Raw genomic sequence first — 16,445 nt, forward strand, 5'->3', positions numbered from 1 at the left:
AAGGTGAGCAAAGGCTCTGCAATCATGGAGCTGAGACCCACAGGATGAAGTAATCAGTGGGGAGGGGGAGAAGGTCCCAGGCTCTTGCAGTCCCTGCAGCAGGAAGGAGCACGGTGAGGTGAGGGCTCAAAGAGCATGAACATAGGGCCTGCAGGAGATGCTGAGAGATCAGCTTTGTCTTCATTTTGAGAAAAATAGGAGTGTATGGAAGACTCCCCCGTCTGTGGAGTAGAGAATCCACTGGAAGCAGGAGAGGGCATGTGCAGATCATGGCAGTGCTGACAGTGGACCAGCTGCTTTCAGAGAAGCATCATGCATAATTTTTCTTGTGTTCCCTGACACTTTATTTTCTACAAGAACCATGAATGCATTTGATAACCAGAGCAGGGGAGGGGACTCGGGGGAGCCAGTGGGGAAGACTGAGCTCAGAGGCCAACCTCCCCTCCCCAGGCCCAATGGTGGCTGGCGGTCAAAAAACAGCTGATGGAGCTGGTTGCTGCCTCCCTCACCGAGAACCTCTGGGCTAGCCCTTGAGCTGATGTGGCTGAGGGAGGTGACATGCATGGGCCAGGTCTCCAACCCCACTCCTACGCCAGGGGACCCTCATCAGCACAGCATTCAGGCAGCCATGGCCCCTGCACAGTCCTGGATGCTCCCTCTTGGAATATCCCTTCAGTCCTGAGAACCGGGACCTGTGGTCCTGGCTGAGGAGGGACCTTCACTCACCCACAGCGACTCTCAGCACTGAACACAGATCAAAGCACTTGTCTGGAGGGTCAGGGGTCTGACCACAAAGTGAGGGACCCCTTTTCTATGCCAAGTTTTGCCTTAGTTTTCCACATTAGCTCATTGACAACAGTCAACTTAAAGGGAATAGGTGCAATTATGATCCTCATTTTACAGGGTGGAAGTTGATTATACAATTTGGGTCATTATTGTAATGCCCAACTAAATCAGAGTTGAGAGGCCAGGGGAAAAATACTCAGGGCACATAACATTGCTCCAAAAATGTAATTCTCTGCAAGCGTGGCTGCTAAAACTGCCTGTTATAACCTAAAACCAGTTTTATTTAATAACTACTGAAACAAATTGCTGTGACCCTAAGACTAGTTTTATCTGCTACCATCATGCAACAATCAGAGCTTGCCAGCTCCCGAAGAGCTTCTCTAGTGCCGATGGACTTTTTTCAAAACAATACATAATATTTCTCATTCTAATAAAACTCCCAACATTCTCTTTGTTTTCCAAACCAAAGACCACCTAGTCTGTATAGATTTCCCAAATTATTATTCTTACTTCCCAAGCAAAATGTTTTAAATTTAGAGAAACATCTGTTTTTATATTTTATTTGACTTTGACAACAGATGATTTGTCTAGGCACAGACTTGGGTTCAAATGTTGGCTGCAGCCAGGCACAGTGGTTCACGCCTGTGATTCCAGCACTTTGAGAGGCTGAGGCAGGAAGATCAGTTGAGCCGAGGAATTCAAGACCAGCCTGGCAACATGGCGAGACCCTTTCTCTATATTTAAAAAACAAACAAACAAACAAAAACCAAAAAGACAAATCTCGGCTGCACTGCTTACAAACACTGTGCTCTTTGGTGGTTACTTCATCTCTCTGAGCCTCAGTTTTCTCACCCCCTCTGTAAAATGGGGCTGGAAGGAATCAGTCAGATTTTGAGGCTAAAATGCACTGTTTGTTCCCTATGGGGGCTCAGTAAAAAAAATTCACTTCACTCTACACTGCTTAAACATTTACTAAAAGCTTGTGTATCCTAACAGTAAATCATGGGACCTCAATTTTCCAGGACTATTCCAATTTCAAATCCTCTGTCCTAACTTTCCATATAAACCATCAAAATGTTTCAAAAATTCCACTCTCTCAGTATCCAAACACTTCTCAGGCCTCCTCTTGCACAAAGCAGTGGCACACACATTCTTTTTTCACACTACAGATCCCGTTCTTTGGTTCAGAAAACGCAGTCAGCACAGTCCTGCCGGTCCCCTAAAGGAAATGGGGTCAGTGCTCCACTGCAATTCAGACTGGGCTGTTTCCCGGCACATCTATGTAAAGGCAGCCAGGGGGAGGCCGGGCCACAATCAGAGCATCACCCACAGAGGGACATACACTGGGCAGAGGAGTTCAGCCCCCACCTACTTGTACCTGGGAGGCAGCCTGGCGACAGGGTTGCTGTGAAGATTAAATGAATTAAGTTACTATTTGGAGAGCACTCACAACAGTGTGTGGCAACCAATAAGTACAGATTAGTGCTGATAACTAAAACCAGAGGCATCCCTGCAGAAGTTACTCCTGCCTCAAAGACAACACAGTGGCATTGCTCCCATCCAGGTGAAAACAAGGAGAATAGGCACTTAGCCCTGGGCTAGGTGAGGCCTGGCCCATGTACAGAGATAAAGCAGACCCGAACCAGAGCAGGTGGGTTCTGCATTAGTGAACACCAAGAGGCTGGATTTGGCTGGGTGCGGTGGCTCACGCCTATATCTCCACACTTTGGGAGGCCAAGGCAGGAGGACTGTTTGAGCCCAGGAGTTCGAGACCAGCTTGGGCAACATAGTAAGACTTTGTCTCCACAAAAAATAAAAAATTAGCTGGGTGTGGTGGCACATGCCTGTAGTCCCAGGTGCGAGGTACAAGGAGGACTGCTTGAGCCATGATCGGGCCACTGCACTCCAGCCTGATGACAGAGTGAGACCTTGTCTCAAAAAACAAAAAAGACCAGGTTGGACTTGGAGAAGAATCACCACGCCTATGATCCACAAAGTCTCTTCATGCCTTTGCCCCTGCTGTTTTGCCTGCCCTAAATGCCATCTTGTTCCTAAGTTTGAGGCTTAATTCAAATTATGCCTTGAAGTTAGAACTAACTTCTCCCCATGGTTAGAACTACGCTCCACAGTGTCTCCTGATGCCCATCGGAATGAATGGCTGCATCCTCTGGTGTCTCTTGCACCTAGCTTATCCTTTTAAAGTACTTACAGGACCATGGACAGATGGATGGGGACGCACATACACATATACAAACTGTCTTTCCAAATCCACCATGAATCCTTCCAAGGCAGGGGTTCAGCGTTCACCTCTGTAGCCCTATGGCCTAATACATGGTAGAGACTCAATAAATGTCTCAATTTGCTGTTAAATCTGTGCTCACACCTGGTCTTGGAATAACAAGTTAACCTGGGGGCAGTGGGAAGCTTCAGGTGCACACACAAGCAGAAGCTCTGGAGATGCAACATTTCTGGGTCTTAGAACCCATTACCAAATCAGTTTTCAGCCAGGGGCTTACCAAGCACTTCTCAGGTCCTTCTCGGCCAGAGGAAAGAAGACATCTATAAGATCAGGCTCTGAGGTCACCTGGACCCAGCCAAGAGCAGTGTGGACACTGACCTGGTCTCCTCCTGTCTCTATTAGAGTTGGAATGAAGAGCTGATGCTGGGTAGGCTACTGCACCCCCACCAGCCCTTCCAGACCAGGGTATGTGCTGGGTGCCTTCAGCATTCCAGCTTCTACAACAGATCTTGGGAAAAGATAAAGAGGCATTGTCCCTGCTTTCCAGGACCGCAATGCTGGAAGGTGAGCTCTCCTGGGAAAAGATGTAGGGACCACAAATTGCTGGTCTTTTCTCAACCACCACAAACCCGGAGGGTTGGGGAAAGGCAGGGTGCCATGTCTTCTCACTCCCTCCCATCCCCAAAGCTGAGCCCTTCTGGTAGGTTATGCCTGTCCTAGAAAATGTCTCTTGTGTGCCTGGACCTGTAGTTCAGAAGGTCAAAATTGGTCCCTCTTGCTCCTGGCCCCACTCTACCTTTGCCAGCTCAGTTTCCTTATCTGCAAGGTGGGGAATGGGGTGGGGTTTGGCAGCAACAAACCCCACTGTGTGTGAAACCTTCCAGTTCACAGCCAACAAAGCGTTGCTCTCAATTCTCTGAAGCCAATTACCACCTCGGAACCCCAGCTTTTTCCAGGGATAAGATTTGTCTCTGACCTTGCCTCCCTAACCAGGTCTCTGAGACTTGAATGAGAATGCTTAAAACTACCAGAGTATCTTCTGTATGATAAAAGATGAATCGAGGGGTCAGAGACATGACTGATGATATGGTAAGGGATCCTGAATCTGCTTCCATGGTAACTTGGGCTTTTTCTCCTGCTCCAAGCTGTCTGAGGGCCCACCACCTGTCTGGCCTGACCAGGGCCTGCCCTTTCCTGCACGGAAGTGGATGCAGGCAACCTGGATTCTCTGGGGTGCACCCCACATCCCCACTCAGCACTACATCTGCCATACAGAAGTTCAATAAATGCCTCAGCTACTCTGAAATGCCTTCAGTAACTTGACCTTTTATATTCCCCAGCTAATGTCTAATTTGCATATATGAGTCCTTTTTAGGAGATGGCAAATCACCAGAGAAAACGCAGGATCAATACAGAGTATTAGGCACGTTCTATTCTACTCTAATTCTCTGCAAATTGGTATTCCATTAACTGCATGTGGGATTTATGGGAGCTCGCTATAAACTAGAATATTTAACTAGAATGGCCTACTCTGTCAGATAATAGCTTACTGTTGTTAATTTTCAACTAGTCAATCTCAGAAAAGTTTCCAACTTCCAATATACTTCACATCTTGATTTAATCATCCGGAAAGTCATCCATATCAAAGCCTCCATACAACAAAGGGACAGGCAGCTTGATGCAGAAGAAAAAGACCTGCCCTTGGAACCAGGAGACTTGGGTTACACCCCAGCTCTACCACATACTGTGTAATTGGCTGCTCAGAGCCTCCATGTCCTCATCTGTAAAATGGGAGTGACACCAGTCTCACAAGGGAGTTGTAAAGATTAAATAAGACGATACAGGTGAATGTACTCTGTAAGTTCTATAAGGCTATGCAAAGGTTAGTTATTACAAAAGCACAAGATGAAATTCTCAAACAACTCGGGCTAATGACAGAAAGCAAGAATTAAATTGGTGGTTCTAAAGGGGTGCTGGGGTGGCATTTTGCTCCCTAGGGGACATCTGACAATACTGGAGGCATTTTTGATTGGAACAACTGGGGAACAGGAATTGCTACTGGAATCTACAGACCAGGGATGCTTCTAAACCCTACAATGCCCAGGACACAAAGAATTATCAAACCCTAAATGTCAATAGTGCAAGGCTGAGAAACCCTGATCTAAATAATCGCTTAAAGTTGGATTTGGGAGCTTTTTAAAACAGAAATCTTCCTAAGCAGGCTTTACTTTCTCCCATCATCTGCTTAAACATTTGCAAGATGGATCATCTTGCAAAACAGCTCTTTTGTAAGTGAAGCCAACTGCCAACTTCTGGAGTTTCTGAATGTATAAAACTGCTTTTAAAGGAGATGCTCTCTGATTACAATTCGGCTAAATTGTTTTTCCGAAGGCCTTGACTTCGGCAGAAGTTCTCCTGGGCACAGAGACAGGGTCTGTCACTCCACCACTAGGCCCTGAAGATGGTTTCCTAATTCTAATTTCCTCCTGAAATGAGAGCCACGAGGGTCTCTAAACGAATTAAATTCACATCACGCCAACTGCTTGCTAGCTTTGTGCCGGGCACGGTGCCAAACACCTCCACATAATTTATCCCACTTAATCCACTCAACAACCCAGCGAGGTGGGCATTATTACCAGCTGATTGCAAGGGAGGAAACTGAGGACCAGAGAGGTTAAACAACTTGCCAAGGTCACCAGCTGGCCAAGGGGGAGCCCAACTTGAACGGAGGTCTCCAGTTTCCAAGTCACAAGCTCTTTCCACCAGCTTGGAAAACCCAGGTGTCAAGTTGTCTCAACTTCCCATGAATTTTTAAGGCAACCGCAACTTCTCAGTAAGTTTAGGTAGCTGAAAATGGGAATTTCGGGGGGGCTGGGCACTCTCACATACACTCCCCCATCTGCAGCTGTCTCACCGCAGGTACCTGATAAATCATTCCATATCGTCCGCGGAACGGGGAGGATTTATTGGCTCTGGAGTTTCGTGCCAGGCCCAGGAAATGCCATCTTTGAAAGCCGAGAGGCGGATTCGCCCTGGGAGCCGAGCGCTGGCAGCCGCTCTCGGCTAGCTCCCCGCGGGCTGTGTGCCCCCTCGGAGCCCCGAGCCGGGGTCGCGGCGGCACGGGGTCCTCCGGAGGTGCCGGACGCACGGGCTCCGCGGGTTGCGCCCGCCCCTGCCCGGCTGGAGCGCACGCCCACGCTCCGGCGCCGCGTCCCGGCCGCCAGCCCGCCCCGGCCGAGCCCCACCCGGCGCCCCGCCCGCGCCCTCCCGCCCCGGCCCCGCCAGGTGAGCGCAGCGGGGCGCCCCCTCCCCGCCCCGACGTGGTGCGGGGATCCCGGTGCAGCCGCACCCGCCAGCCCGCCCGCGCGTCCGCCGCGCGCCCCAGGGACGGGTGGGGGCGGGGTGGCGCCGAGCGCGACCCCGGCCCCCGGCAGCCCCGCACCCTGCCCCCGGCCCGCTGGGGTCGCACGGGCCCGTACCTGCAGCATCCGGGGGCGCGGAGCGCCCAGGTAGGTCGCGCGTGCGGGCGGCGCGGAAGCTCGCTCGCGGCGCGACCTGGCCGCCGTCTGAGCATGCCCAGTGCCGCCCGCGGGCGGTTCCCGCCGGCCGGGCTGGCCGCGACGGGCCCGCGCGCCGGGCGGGGGGCGGGCGTCCGGGCTGGCCTGCGGTGTTCTCCCGCCCCCGCCCCGGGCTGGCGCGCCCCGACGCATCTCCTAGGGGCACCGGGGCTCTCCGCCGAGCTCCGGGCAGGTCCTGAGTTCCCTCGCGCATGCATGCAGCCATTCGTTCCACAGCCATGACTGGGCACCTACTGTGTGCCAGGCCCTCAGTGATTTCATGCCTAGGGAAGGCAAGAAGTCGGCGCCCAAAGAAACTTTGAAATGAGGAGTCTTGCACGACGGGTGCGCGGTTGAGCTGAGGTCCCGCTGACTTCCAGTCCAGTGCTCGTCCCTTGGCACTAGTAAGCTTCCCTGGTTAAACCTCCCCAAGGCTCGTGGGACCCCTACCTGATCTGTGCTCCTGCTTCCCACCTCCGTCTCATCTCACACCTGCCTTCCTGCGGATCCTAGAGCGCCTTTCTGTCCATCAAACACTCGAACTTCACTAACCTCAGGACATTGGCGCCCGCCTTTCCCTCTGTGGGACGTTCTTGCCCAGCTTTTCACGTGGCCGGCGCCTTCTCATTGTACATAGGTCCCCTCCTCAGAGAGGCCTTTCCTGACCACCTTCCTCGATTAGCCCTCTGCTCCTGACCACTCCGTGTACTCTGTTTTCTTCATAGCATTTAACAGTGATTTATCCATTTTCAGCAAATATTTATTGAGCACCTATTCTGGTTTTTCTCGCGTGGGGAACAAATAGACAAAAATTCTGTCCCCCAGTGGAGTTTGGGGAAAGAGGGACAGGTAACAGATAAACAGCAAATTAGCAAACTATGCATTATATTAGAAAGTGATAAGTTCTAAGAGGAAAAAGAGCAGGGTCAGGAGATTTGGGGCTGGAGGTAAGCAGTGAATTTTCAGTGAAGCGGTCGGATAGGGCCCTTGAGCTGATGGACGGTCTGATTGGGTGACACTGAGAAGGTGATAGTGGTATTTCAGCCACGCAGATAAGCAGGGAAGAGCATTCCTGGCCGAGGGAACAGCCAGTGCCAAGACCCAAAAGAGCGCCGGACCGCTTAGGGAACGGCAAGGAGGCAGAGGAGCAGATGAGGTTGGTCACTTTGGCTTTTCCTCCGATTTGTTTAATTCTCATGTTGTATTTCCCTCCTAAATGTCAGCTTTGGGGCTGTAGCTCTGCTTGTCTTTACTGCAGTGACCCCCCTGCAACACTGTCTGGCACACACTAGGCGCTCAAACATTATTTGTTGAATATGTGAACGAAGGGATGCAGAGATGGTTGGAACCCTCCAGTCGGGCCTGGGTGCCAGGTCCTGGGGGCAGTCGTTCCAGGGATAGACTGAGGCCTCGGCAGCCCCTGGAACCTCATTTCGGTCCTTGTCCCGGAGTCGCACGTCCCGGGATAGCGCCGCTGCAGCGGGTGCCGCCCGTGCATCGCGTCGGGGGGATTTCCGACGGAGCCCGGAGTCCAGGGGCAGGACCGCCCGCGCCCCGCCCGGCCCGGCCCGGCCTCGAGTCGCCAGCAAAACCTGGAGCCGCGGCGCCCGCTCAGCACCACTCGGACGGGCGGGGAGCGCACTGGGCATGCTCGGAGCCGGGCGGGGCCGGAGCCCCCGGAAGGAGGAGCCCCCTGGAGGGGCAGGCGACGCCCCCCGCAGAGCTCCACCCAGCGCCCCCGGGCTCAGCAGGAGGCATTCTCTGTCCTTTCCCCACTGCCTTATCCTCTCTGTGCTTCAACCATTGTGAATACCTACGCTTCGATCTGGGCACCCGAGTGGAAGTTGAGTGAAATAAGGAACGTGAACGTGTTTAGACCACCTTAAAGATCCATTTCTTGAGTGCCTACCAAAATCAGCCGTCATCCTCATGCCAGTTTGCCAACTGCTGAGATGAGGAAACCGAGGTCAACGGAGGATGTGTGAATTTTCGAAGTTGTCTTAATCTGCTGACCCCTAGACTGAAATTACCTTTTCTTTTCCCACAGCTAACAGCTGTTAGCTTAAACGATGCCCTCAACTTTGAGCTAGGAACATGCTTACACCTAAAGGAAAGACCTAAATATTTTAAAAATCATGCGTTTTAAATCACCATAACAGAAGCAGGAACAAAATGAAAGAATACTCCCCAAATTGGAAACAAACTAAGTACTCAATAACAGAGGGATGATTAATTAGGTTATGGTATATTAGTTGAAATAATAACTATCTTACACTAAGTTAAAAAGACCATGTTGCAACAGGGAAAACACGGTACAATGTTAAATGAAAAAAAAAAAAACCGCAGAAAACAGGTCGGGTGAGGTGGCTCATGCCTGTAATCCCAGCACTTTGGGAGATCCAGGTGAGAAGGTAGCTTAAGCCCAAGAGTTCAGGACCAGCCTGGGCAACATAGCAAGACCCCATCTTTACAAAAAAAAACTTATCCAGGTGTGGTGGCATGCACCTGTGGCCTCAGCTACATGGGAGGCTGAGGTGGGAGGATCTCTTGAGCCAGGAAGGTCAAGGCTGCAGTGAGTTGTGATGGCACCATTTGTACTTCAGCCTGTATGACAGAGCGAGATTCTGTCTCAAATAAAAAAAAAAAAAAAAGCTAAAAACACAAATAGATTGTATAAACATGGTGTTGACACATTCACCAAGACTGGAAGGAAATATGGGAAAATTAACTAGTCATTTTTTTGGAGTAGTAAGTTTGGGTGTTTTTTAAAAGTTTATTAATGTCACAATGACATGTTTGCAATAATAAGCATTTAAAAGATCAAATTAAAAATTCTTGTTTTGTGTATATCCAGTTACAGTAACTGCTATTATCAAGCTCAAGTACGATGAATATTTTATATATATTCTCTCTTTAATCCTTACCATCACTCTACAGAGTGGGTGTTTTAGCTCAGTTTTACAGAAGAGAAAACAATCTAGGGGCTGTTCACAGCTGTTAAGGGGGTGAGGATTTGAACACAAGTCAATCTGATCTCAAAGTCAGGGTGTTAGGTTTTAGGACACACTGCCTCTCTGTGTAGTAGATTACCATGTATTGATGATAAGAGAAGCTATATGTCATCTAATTTTGTAGGGTTTTTTGCCTTATTTTCTCTACCCTTTGATGTGTTTGTAGGCTACAGATTACCTTTAAATGTTCTAGTCTCCTGTTACTGTTTTATTCTTGGGGCCAAAATGTTAAAGTCTATCCTTTTAAGCTGTTGCATCTGGAGTGACATAAGGTTATTATTACCAATGACAGTTGATCTTATATCATAAGCTCCCAAACCTTACGTAAATGGGGCTTTTGAATGGGCACATAATCTTCTTAGGCTATTGTTGAACTCAGCCAAGTGTAGAGCAAATTAAAGCCCAATTGGGAATAGAGCTGTACTCAGTCCCAGATCGACTGGTCCAGAGAGGACCCACATAGATTATCGTCTCTGGGCATTCACTTTGGAGGCAGGATCACAACATGATGGAACCACCTGGTCCATGGACTCCTCAGGGACTTTTCTGTGATGAAATGACAGAGAGCTGATAGTCCTGATGATGTTTGCTGAGAGAAAGCCAGGACCGTAAGAGCAGCCCTCCTCCTGCGAAGCTCAAAAATATAGTCACCTCTCTCTCTTAGTGCCAGTAGACTGTACCTGGCTGAAAGATCCAGAAACCGTGAAAAACAATAACAACAAAGAAAACAAAAGAGCATCATTTTATTGGAGAGTAAGATACGCTACAAACTGAATATACATCACAGGTAATGGACCAGATTCGTAAAAGAGGAACAAGAGATGAACATCTAAACATAGTTATTAGCAGCATTCCCAGAAGCTGCCATTGGGGCAGAAAATCAGGTGCCAGGCACTGTATGCAGGCAATTGGTTAAGGGAATTTATAGGAAGAGTTTCCTGGAAGAATCACTGAGGATTGTCATTCGCATCAAGACTTGGGAAGTCTGCCCTACTTGTACTGCTCCAGTGATTTACAAAGCAGTGCTCTGAGCTGAGATGCTAATGCTCATCAATTATTTGTGCTGTTAATGCAAGCTTATGAAGAGCCCGAGAATCCATAAATACATGGGCAAGTGGTGCTGTTAGAATGACATGAAAAGAATATGATGTAAAATACACATGGTATGGTATGTGGGAATTCAGTAGGTTGAACTATAAATTGCCAGGCAGGGTGCAGTGGCTCCCACCTGTAATCCCTGCACTGTGCGAGGCTGAGGTGGGAGGATTGCTTGAGGACAGGAGTTTGAGACCAGTCTGGGCAATGTAGTGAGACCCTGTCTCTACAAATAAGAAAAAAATTAGCTGGATGTGGTGGCACCCATGTGTGGTCCCAGCTACTTGGGAGACTGAGGTGGGAGGATCACTTGAGTCAGGGCGGTTGAGGCTGCAGTGAGTCCTAGTTGTGCCACTGCACTCCAACCTGGACAACAGCAAGACTCTGTCTCAAATAAATAAATATGAAATTGCCATTTTATGGGTCAAAATGGTTGAACATCGGTAACTTCCTGTATTTCAATTTAATGCATACACATAGAACAAAAACTAGAAAAACTGCACCAAAATATTATTGGTGGTGTGTCTGACTATTGCATTTATGTGCAGAGAGGCAGGCTACAGAAGTTATCTTTTACAAATTAGGAGAATTTCAAGTCTTTGGGTGTCTATTTTTTGTATGTCTTTATAGTTCTCTAAATCTTATGTATGTTTCTTTCATAATCTGGAAAAATGAAACAAATTCAAAAGTTGGCAAGCTAAAGAAAATGATGTAAAGAGAGGGAAAATGACTACTCCAGAATTGCTCAAAAAAAAGTGAGAGGCTCCTTTCATGGAGGGTGAAGCCCACCCTGCCTACCGACAAAGAGTCACCAGGCATGGTGAATGACAGCAAGATGTTTATTTCTGGCTCAGGAGCGAGAAGGTGGTCAGCCAGGAGCATGCTAGAGAAGCGTTAGTCAAATTCAGGACACTTCATCCCCTGAGCCTGTGTTCTAAGGCTCCTGGACTCGATGAATCTCACTTTGAGAAACACAAACATTTCAGCCTAATGTTTTATCCATTGAAAAATGTCTTTCTCGGCTGGGCAAGGTGGCTCATGCTTGTAATCCCAGCACTTTGGGAGTCCGAAGCAGGCAGATCACCTGAGGTCAGGAGTTTGAGAACAGCCTGGACAGCATAGTGAAACCCTGTCTCTACTTAAAAAAAATACAAAAATTAGCCAGGTGTGGTGGCACATGCCTGTAATCCCAGCCACTTGGGAGGCTGAGGCAGGAGAATCGCTGGAACCCTGGAGGCAGAGGTTGCAGTGAGCCAAGATTGCACCACTAACTGCGCTCCAGCCTGGGCAACAGAGTGAGACTCCATCTCAAAAAAAAAAAAAAGTCTTTCCTCTGCAAATTATCACTGTAAAAGAGGGATTTTGTCTGTAAAACTGATAAATTTGAGTACAAGAGCAGTGATGAAGGGATTGTTGTCAATTAGACATTGGTAGATTCATTCATTAAATATTTATTATATACCCTACTATGTATCAGGCACTACTCTAAGTGCTTGGGAGACATCTGTGAACAAAACAAAAATATCCCTGCTCTCATGGAGCATACGGTCTAATAGAGCAAGGTACAAGGAACAATAAACATCATAAATAAATGAATTGTAAAAAGAGCAGGGTAAGTATAGTAGGGAGAGGGATGGGGGCAGAGAGTTGTAATTTTAAATAGGATTGAGAAACGTAATCTCTTAAGCAAACACTTAAGCAAAGACCTGAAGGAGATGAGAGTGTTATTCTTGCGGGTATCTGGGGGAAGAATCTTCTGGTCAGAGAGAATAGGATGGGTGATACCAAGGCCCTTGAGGGAGCCTCTCTAGATTAAAGAAGCTGGTGAGCAAGGGAGAAAGCTGCAGGAGATGGAGTCAGAGAGGTATCAGGCACCAGACCCGTAGGGCCCTCCCTTCATCCTCTAGTCCCAAGAAGGACAGCCTTTCAGTCTCAGCTGGACAGGGAGCCAAGCCAACCTCATGGCTGCCAGATGTGCTTGTCAGCTCATCAAAAAGTAAATTCTTTCCCTTGGGGTGGTCAGTTGATGCCAGTTTGGTGGTAAACACAGATTCAAATAAGGGAACCAAAATTATATAGCAGCCCTCCGCTATAAGGGGGTCAGCCAGACAGTCCAGATTATGCATATATTTTTAATATTATCATAGAGATGGAAAGATGACATTAAACAATAAACTCAGATGATTCCCAGACCTTCAAGGACACTTGTGGGAACCCTCAAGGATGGAGGGAGTTTGAAAAACACTCTTTGGGTGTCCACACTGTAAAACTGACAGAGGACCATACTGTAATGGACCTGTGAACCACCATGTGGATTTGCTACCACATGGGAAAACAGAAACGTAAGTGTAGGGACTTTAAGATCCTTCTCTGGAAACTCAGATCATTGAGGATGCTTCCATCAACAGAAGCTGAGACGATGAGACATGCAGAGAGTGGAAGATGGCGTCCTGAACTGCAGCTGACCGAAACAATCGCCTTCCCTGAAAGGGGTGGTGTCATCTTACAAAACCCAGGGAAAATGGGTTTGTCAGAAGTCTCTCAACCACAGCCTCAAAGTTCATATACTGAAAACAAAGAGAGAGGAAAACACCTAGGTAATGTAGAATAGTCATACAGTGGTCATGGCTTTGAAAAACCAGCAGTGATGAAGGAAATACTCAGTAATCCCTAATAGAGGATTCTAGGGAGGAGAGTCAGTAATAATAGTGAAGGCAGTGTTTCTGGAAGTGTGATCCAGGAGCCATGTAGATCACAGCCACCAGGTCACCATGGGGGAAGAAGTCTGTGTGGAAAACCAGACTCCTGACCTGAGCCATGAACCTTCTGAATCTCTGGGTGTGGCACCCAAGAACCTGCATTTTATAATTTACTATAGTAATTATTTTGGTATAGAGTCTTGCTCTGTCACCCAGACTGGAGTATAGTGATGTGTCCATGGTTCACTGCAGCTTCCACTTCCTGGGCTCAAGTGATCTTCCTGCCTCAGCCTCTGGAGTAGCTGGGACTAGAGGCGCATGCCACCACACCTGGCTAATTTTTTTTGTTTGTGTCTTTGTTTAGATGAGGTCTTGCTATTTTGGCCAGGCTGGTCTCAAACTCCTGGGCTCAAACAATCCTACTGCCTTGGCCTCCCAAAGTGTTGGGATTACAGGCGTGAGCCACTGCACCCAGCCTATAAGAATCTTTTGTACACCAAAGTTTTATTAACTTCTGTCCTATGACCTCCAATATACGTACACCAAGAACATAGTCTGAGTAATAAACTAAAGGATGGGAAATTTTACTAATGGTCTTCTAGGTATTACTGATGCTTGGATGGATGGAACTGAGGATCAGAACATCAACTTCTTTTTTTTTTTTTTGAGACAGAATCTCGCTCTGTGGCCCAGGCTTGAGTGCAGTGGCGTGATCTCGGCTCACTGCAAGCTCTGCCTCCCGGGTTCATGCCATTCTTCTGCCTCAGCCTCCCGAGTAGCTGGGACTACAGGAGCCTGCCGCTATGCCCGGCTAATTTTTTGTATTTTTTTAGTAGAGACAGGGTTTCACCGTGTTAGCCAGGATGGTCTCGATCTCCTGACCTCGTGATCCGCCTGCCTCAGCCTCCCAAAGTGCTGGGATTACAGGCATGAGCCACTGCGCCCGGCCCAGAACATCAGCTTCTTAAAGGAGGTGCCCATAGAAAGGGGTAGAAGGAGAGGGGAAGAAGAGATGAAGAAAGGGCATGCCCCAACCACATATACGGACCCTCAGCTCTCAGGCTCTCTGCTCTTGACCTTGGGTCTCTGATGTCATCCACCATGCTCTCCTGGGACCAGAAGCAAGCTAACCATGTGACTGGAAAGGCAGCAGTAATAGGGATAGTAGTGGTGATGTTTGCTAAGAGCAGTGGACCTTAAAATAAACACATCAAAGTATGCAGGATACACACAAAACTGAAACTGGAAAGGTCATCCCCTCCCGAAGAGGAACTGTATGAGTGGGGCAGAGGAGGGATGGAAGTTTACATAAACCTTTTTGTACCTTCTGAATTTTCTTCCTTTATTTTTCTTTCTTTCATTTCTCTCCCCTTCCTTCCTTCTTTCCTACCTACCTTCTTTCCTTCCTTCCTTCTTTCCTTCCTTCCTCCCTCCCTCCTTTCCTCCCTTCCTCCCTCCTTTCCTTCCTTCCTTCCTCTCTCTCTCTTTCTTTTCTTTCTTTCTTTCTTTTTTTTTTTTTGCGACAGGGTCTATCTCTGTCACCCAGGCAGGAGTGCAGAGGTACATTCTCAGCTCACTGTGGCTTCAACCTCCCAGGCTTAAGCAATCCTCCCACCCCAGCCTTCCAAGTAGCTGGGACTACAGGTGCATGCCACAAGACTTGGCTGATTTTTGTATTTTTGGTAGAGATGGGGTTTTGCCTTTTTGCCCAGGCTGGTGTCAAACTCCTGAGCTCAGGCATTCCTCCCGTCTTGGCTTCCCAAAGTGCTGGGATTATAGGCATGAGCCACAGTGCCCAGTCTGAATTTTCTACCATGTGATGTATAACCTATTTTAAATAAAAACATTCTCATTTGGAAAAAAGTAATGAAGCATGCCTAATATTTTTTCAGAATTGTTTTGTTTTCCATCTTGGCTGCCTCCAAATTTTGCTGACCAAGTGCAAAGCCCAGGTTTCTTAACAAGCCAAGGCTCTACGACCAGGGCACAACAATCCATACCTTGCTTGAAGGAAACAGCTGGAGGTCAAGAACTCTCACTACTACTGGAAATTCATGTGGCTGAGGGATGGAACAGAAGAGAGCTTTTGGATAAGGATAAAAGAAAAGGAAAAATGGTTTTGGTGACCCAGGGATCAGGAATGATGCCTCCCTGATACAGGTGGTAACAGAATGGCCAGAGAAGTGAGATGGAGAATTCCAACTGGTCAGCCCTCTGCTGGAAGTCACATCCATGAAAAGACAGTTATCTGAAAACCTATTCTTGCTTGGCTTACCATTTCATTGCCGAGAAACTGGAAACCTGTCCTGGGCCCAGGAGAACACTGTGCTCCGAATTCCTGGTGACATTTTAAGAACGGGGGATGCTATTCAGCCTGCCCAGTGATCTGGTGCTTCTAGTGTTGCACGGATGACACACCACAGGATTTCCTCAACTGCGCCCTGGCGTCCTGCTAGGATGTCTTTCTCATTTTTTCCATGGTACACACAGTCATTGCATCACAGTCCAAACGGACTGTCCAGCGATGCCTTTGTAAACATGAGTCACATGTGAAGTTAAAGGAATCTGTGTTCAGCCAGGGACAGCAGAGTTCCTAAGGCACATCGTCTTCACATAAGGGGTGCAGATTGATAAGGGTCATAGGACTTCCTGCTGAGATGCCCAAGCAGTGCTCCGGGACTCACTTTATGCAGCAGCCACTGAGGCCTCCATCCATAACACTCTTCTTCATCCCTATGAAGTTCTCCAGCTATCATATCAGAAAACATTACTATTTCCCCATTTTTCACCTTCTTGGGTGTCTCTCAGTTGGGTCCTGAATGTCACCCCCTGTCCAGCCTTGGTCATCCCAGCCCAAGCACAGGCACAAACCTCTTTCTTGCTTCCCCTTGAAAAATGAAGGTCACCTATATCAACCTCCCGAAACAACACATTCGACTGTCTCTGCCTGTTGAAATCCTGGTTAAGGTCCATCTCAGAAACTGCCTCTTCCCCGATTATCTCCACTGGCTATGAGCTCTCTAATCCCTGCACCAGAGAGTATTTGATCTGTTTCTCT

The 16,445-nt window shown here is 48.2% G+C and overlaps 1 protein-coding gene across 5 annotated transcripts in view; it reads right to left on the reverse strand.

Moving 5' to 3' along the window:
- The window catches only part of PTPN3 (protein tyrosine phosphatase non-receptor type 3), a 162,727-nt gene that overhangs the window by 116,021 nt on the left and 30,261 nt on the right, over window positions 1–16,445 (reverse strand). For 2 of the 5 annotated variants that reach the window (NM_001145368.2, NM_002829.4), the window contains exon 1: window positions 6,505–6,593. The exons of 1 other annotated variant lie outside the window; for it this stretch is intronic. The gene's annotated coding sequence lies outside the window, so the exon portion shown is untranslated. Of the gene's footprint in view, window positions 1–5,948; window positions 6,223–6,504; window positions 6,594–16,445 lie in introns of those variants that run through there. 2 more of the 5 variants (XM_006717199.4, XM_047423636.1) reach the window with 1 other exon arrangement.

This window comes from Homo sapiens, chromosome 9 (genome assembly GCF_000001405.40).
Source record: "Homo sapiens chromosome 9, GRCh38.p14 Primary Assembly".
NCBI classification, from domain to species: Eukaryota; Metazoa; Chordata; class Mammalia; order Primates; family Hominidae; genus Homo; species Homo sapiens.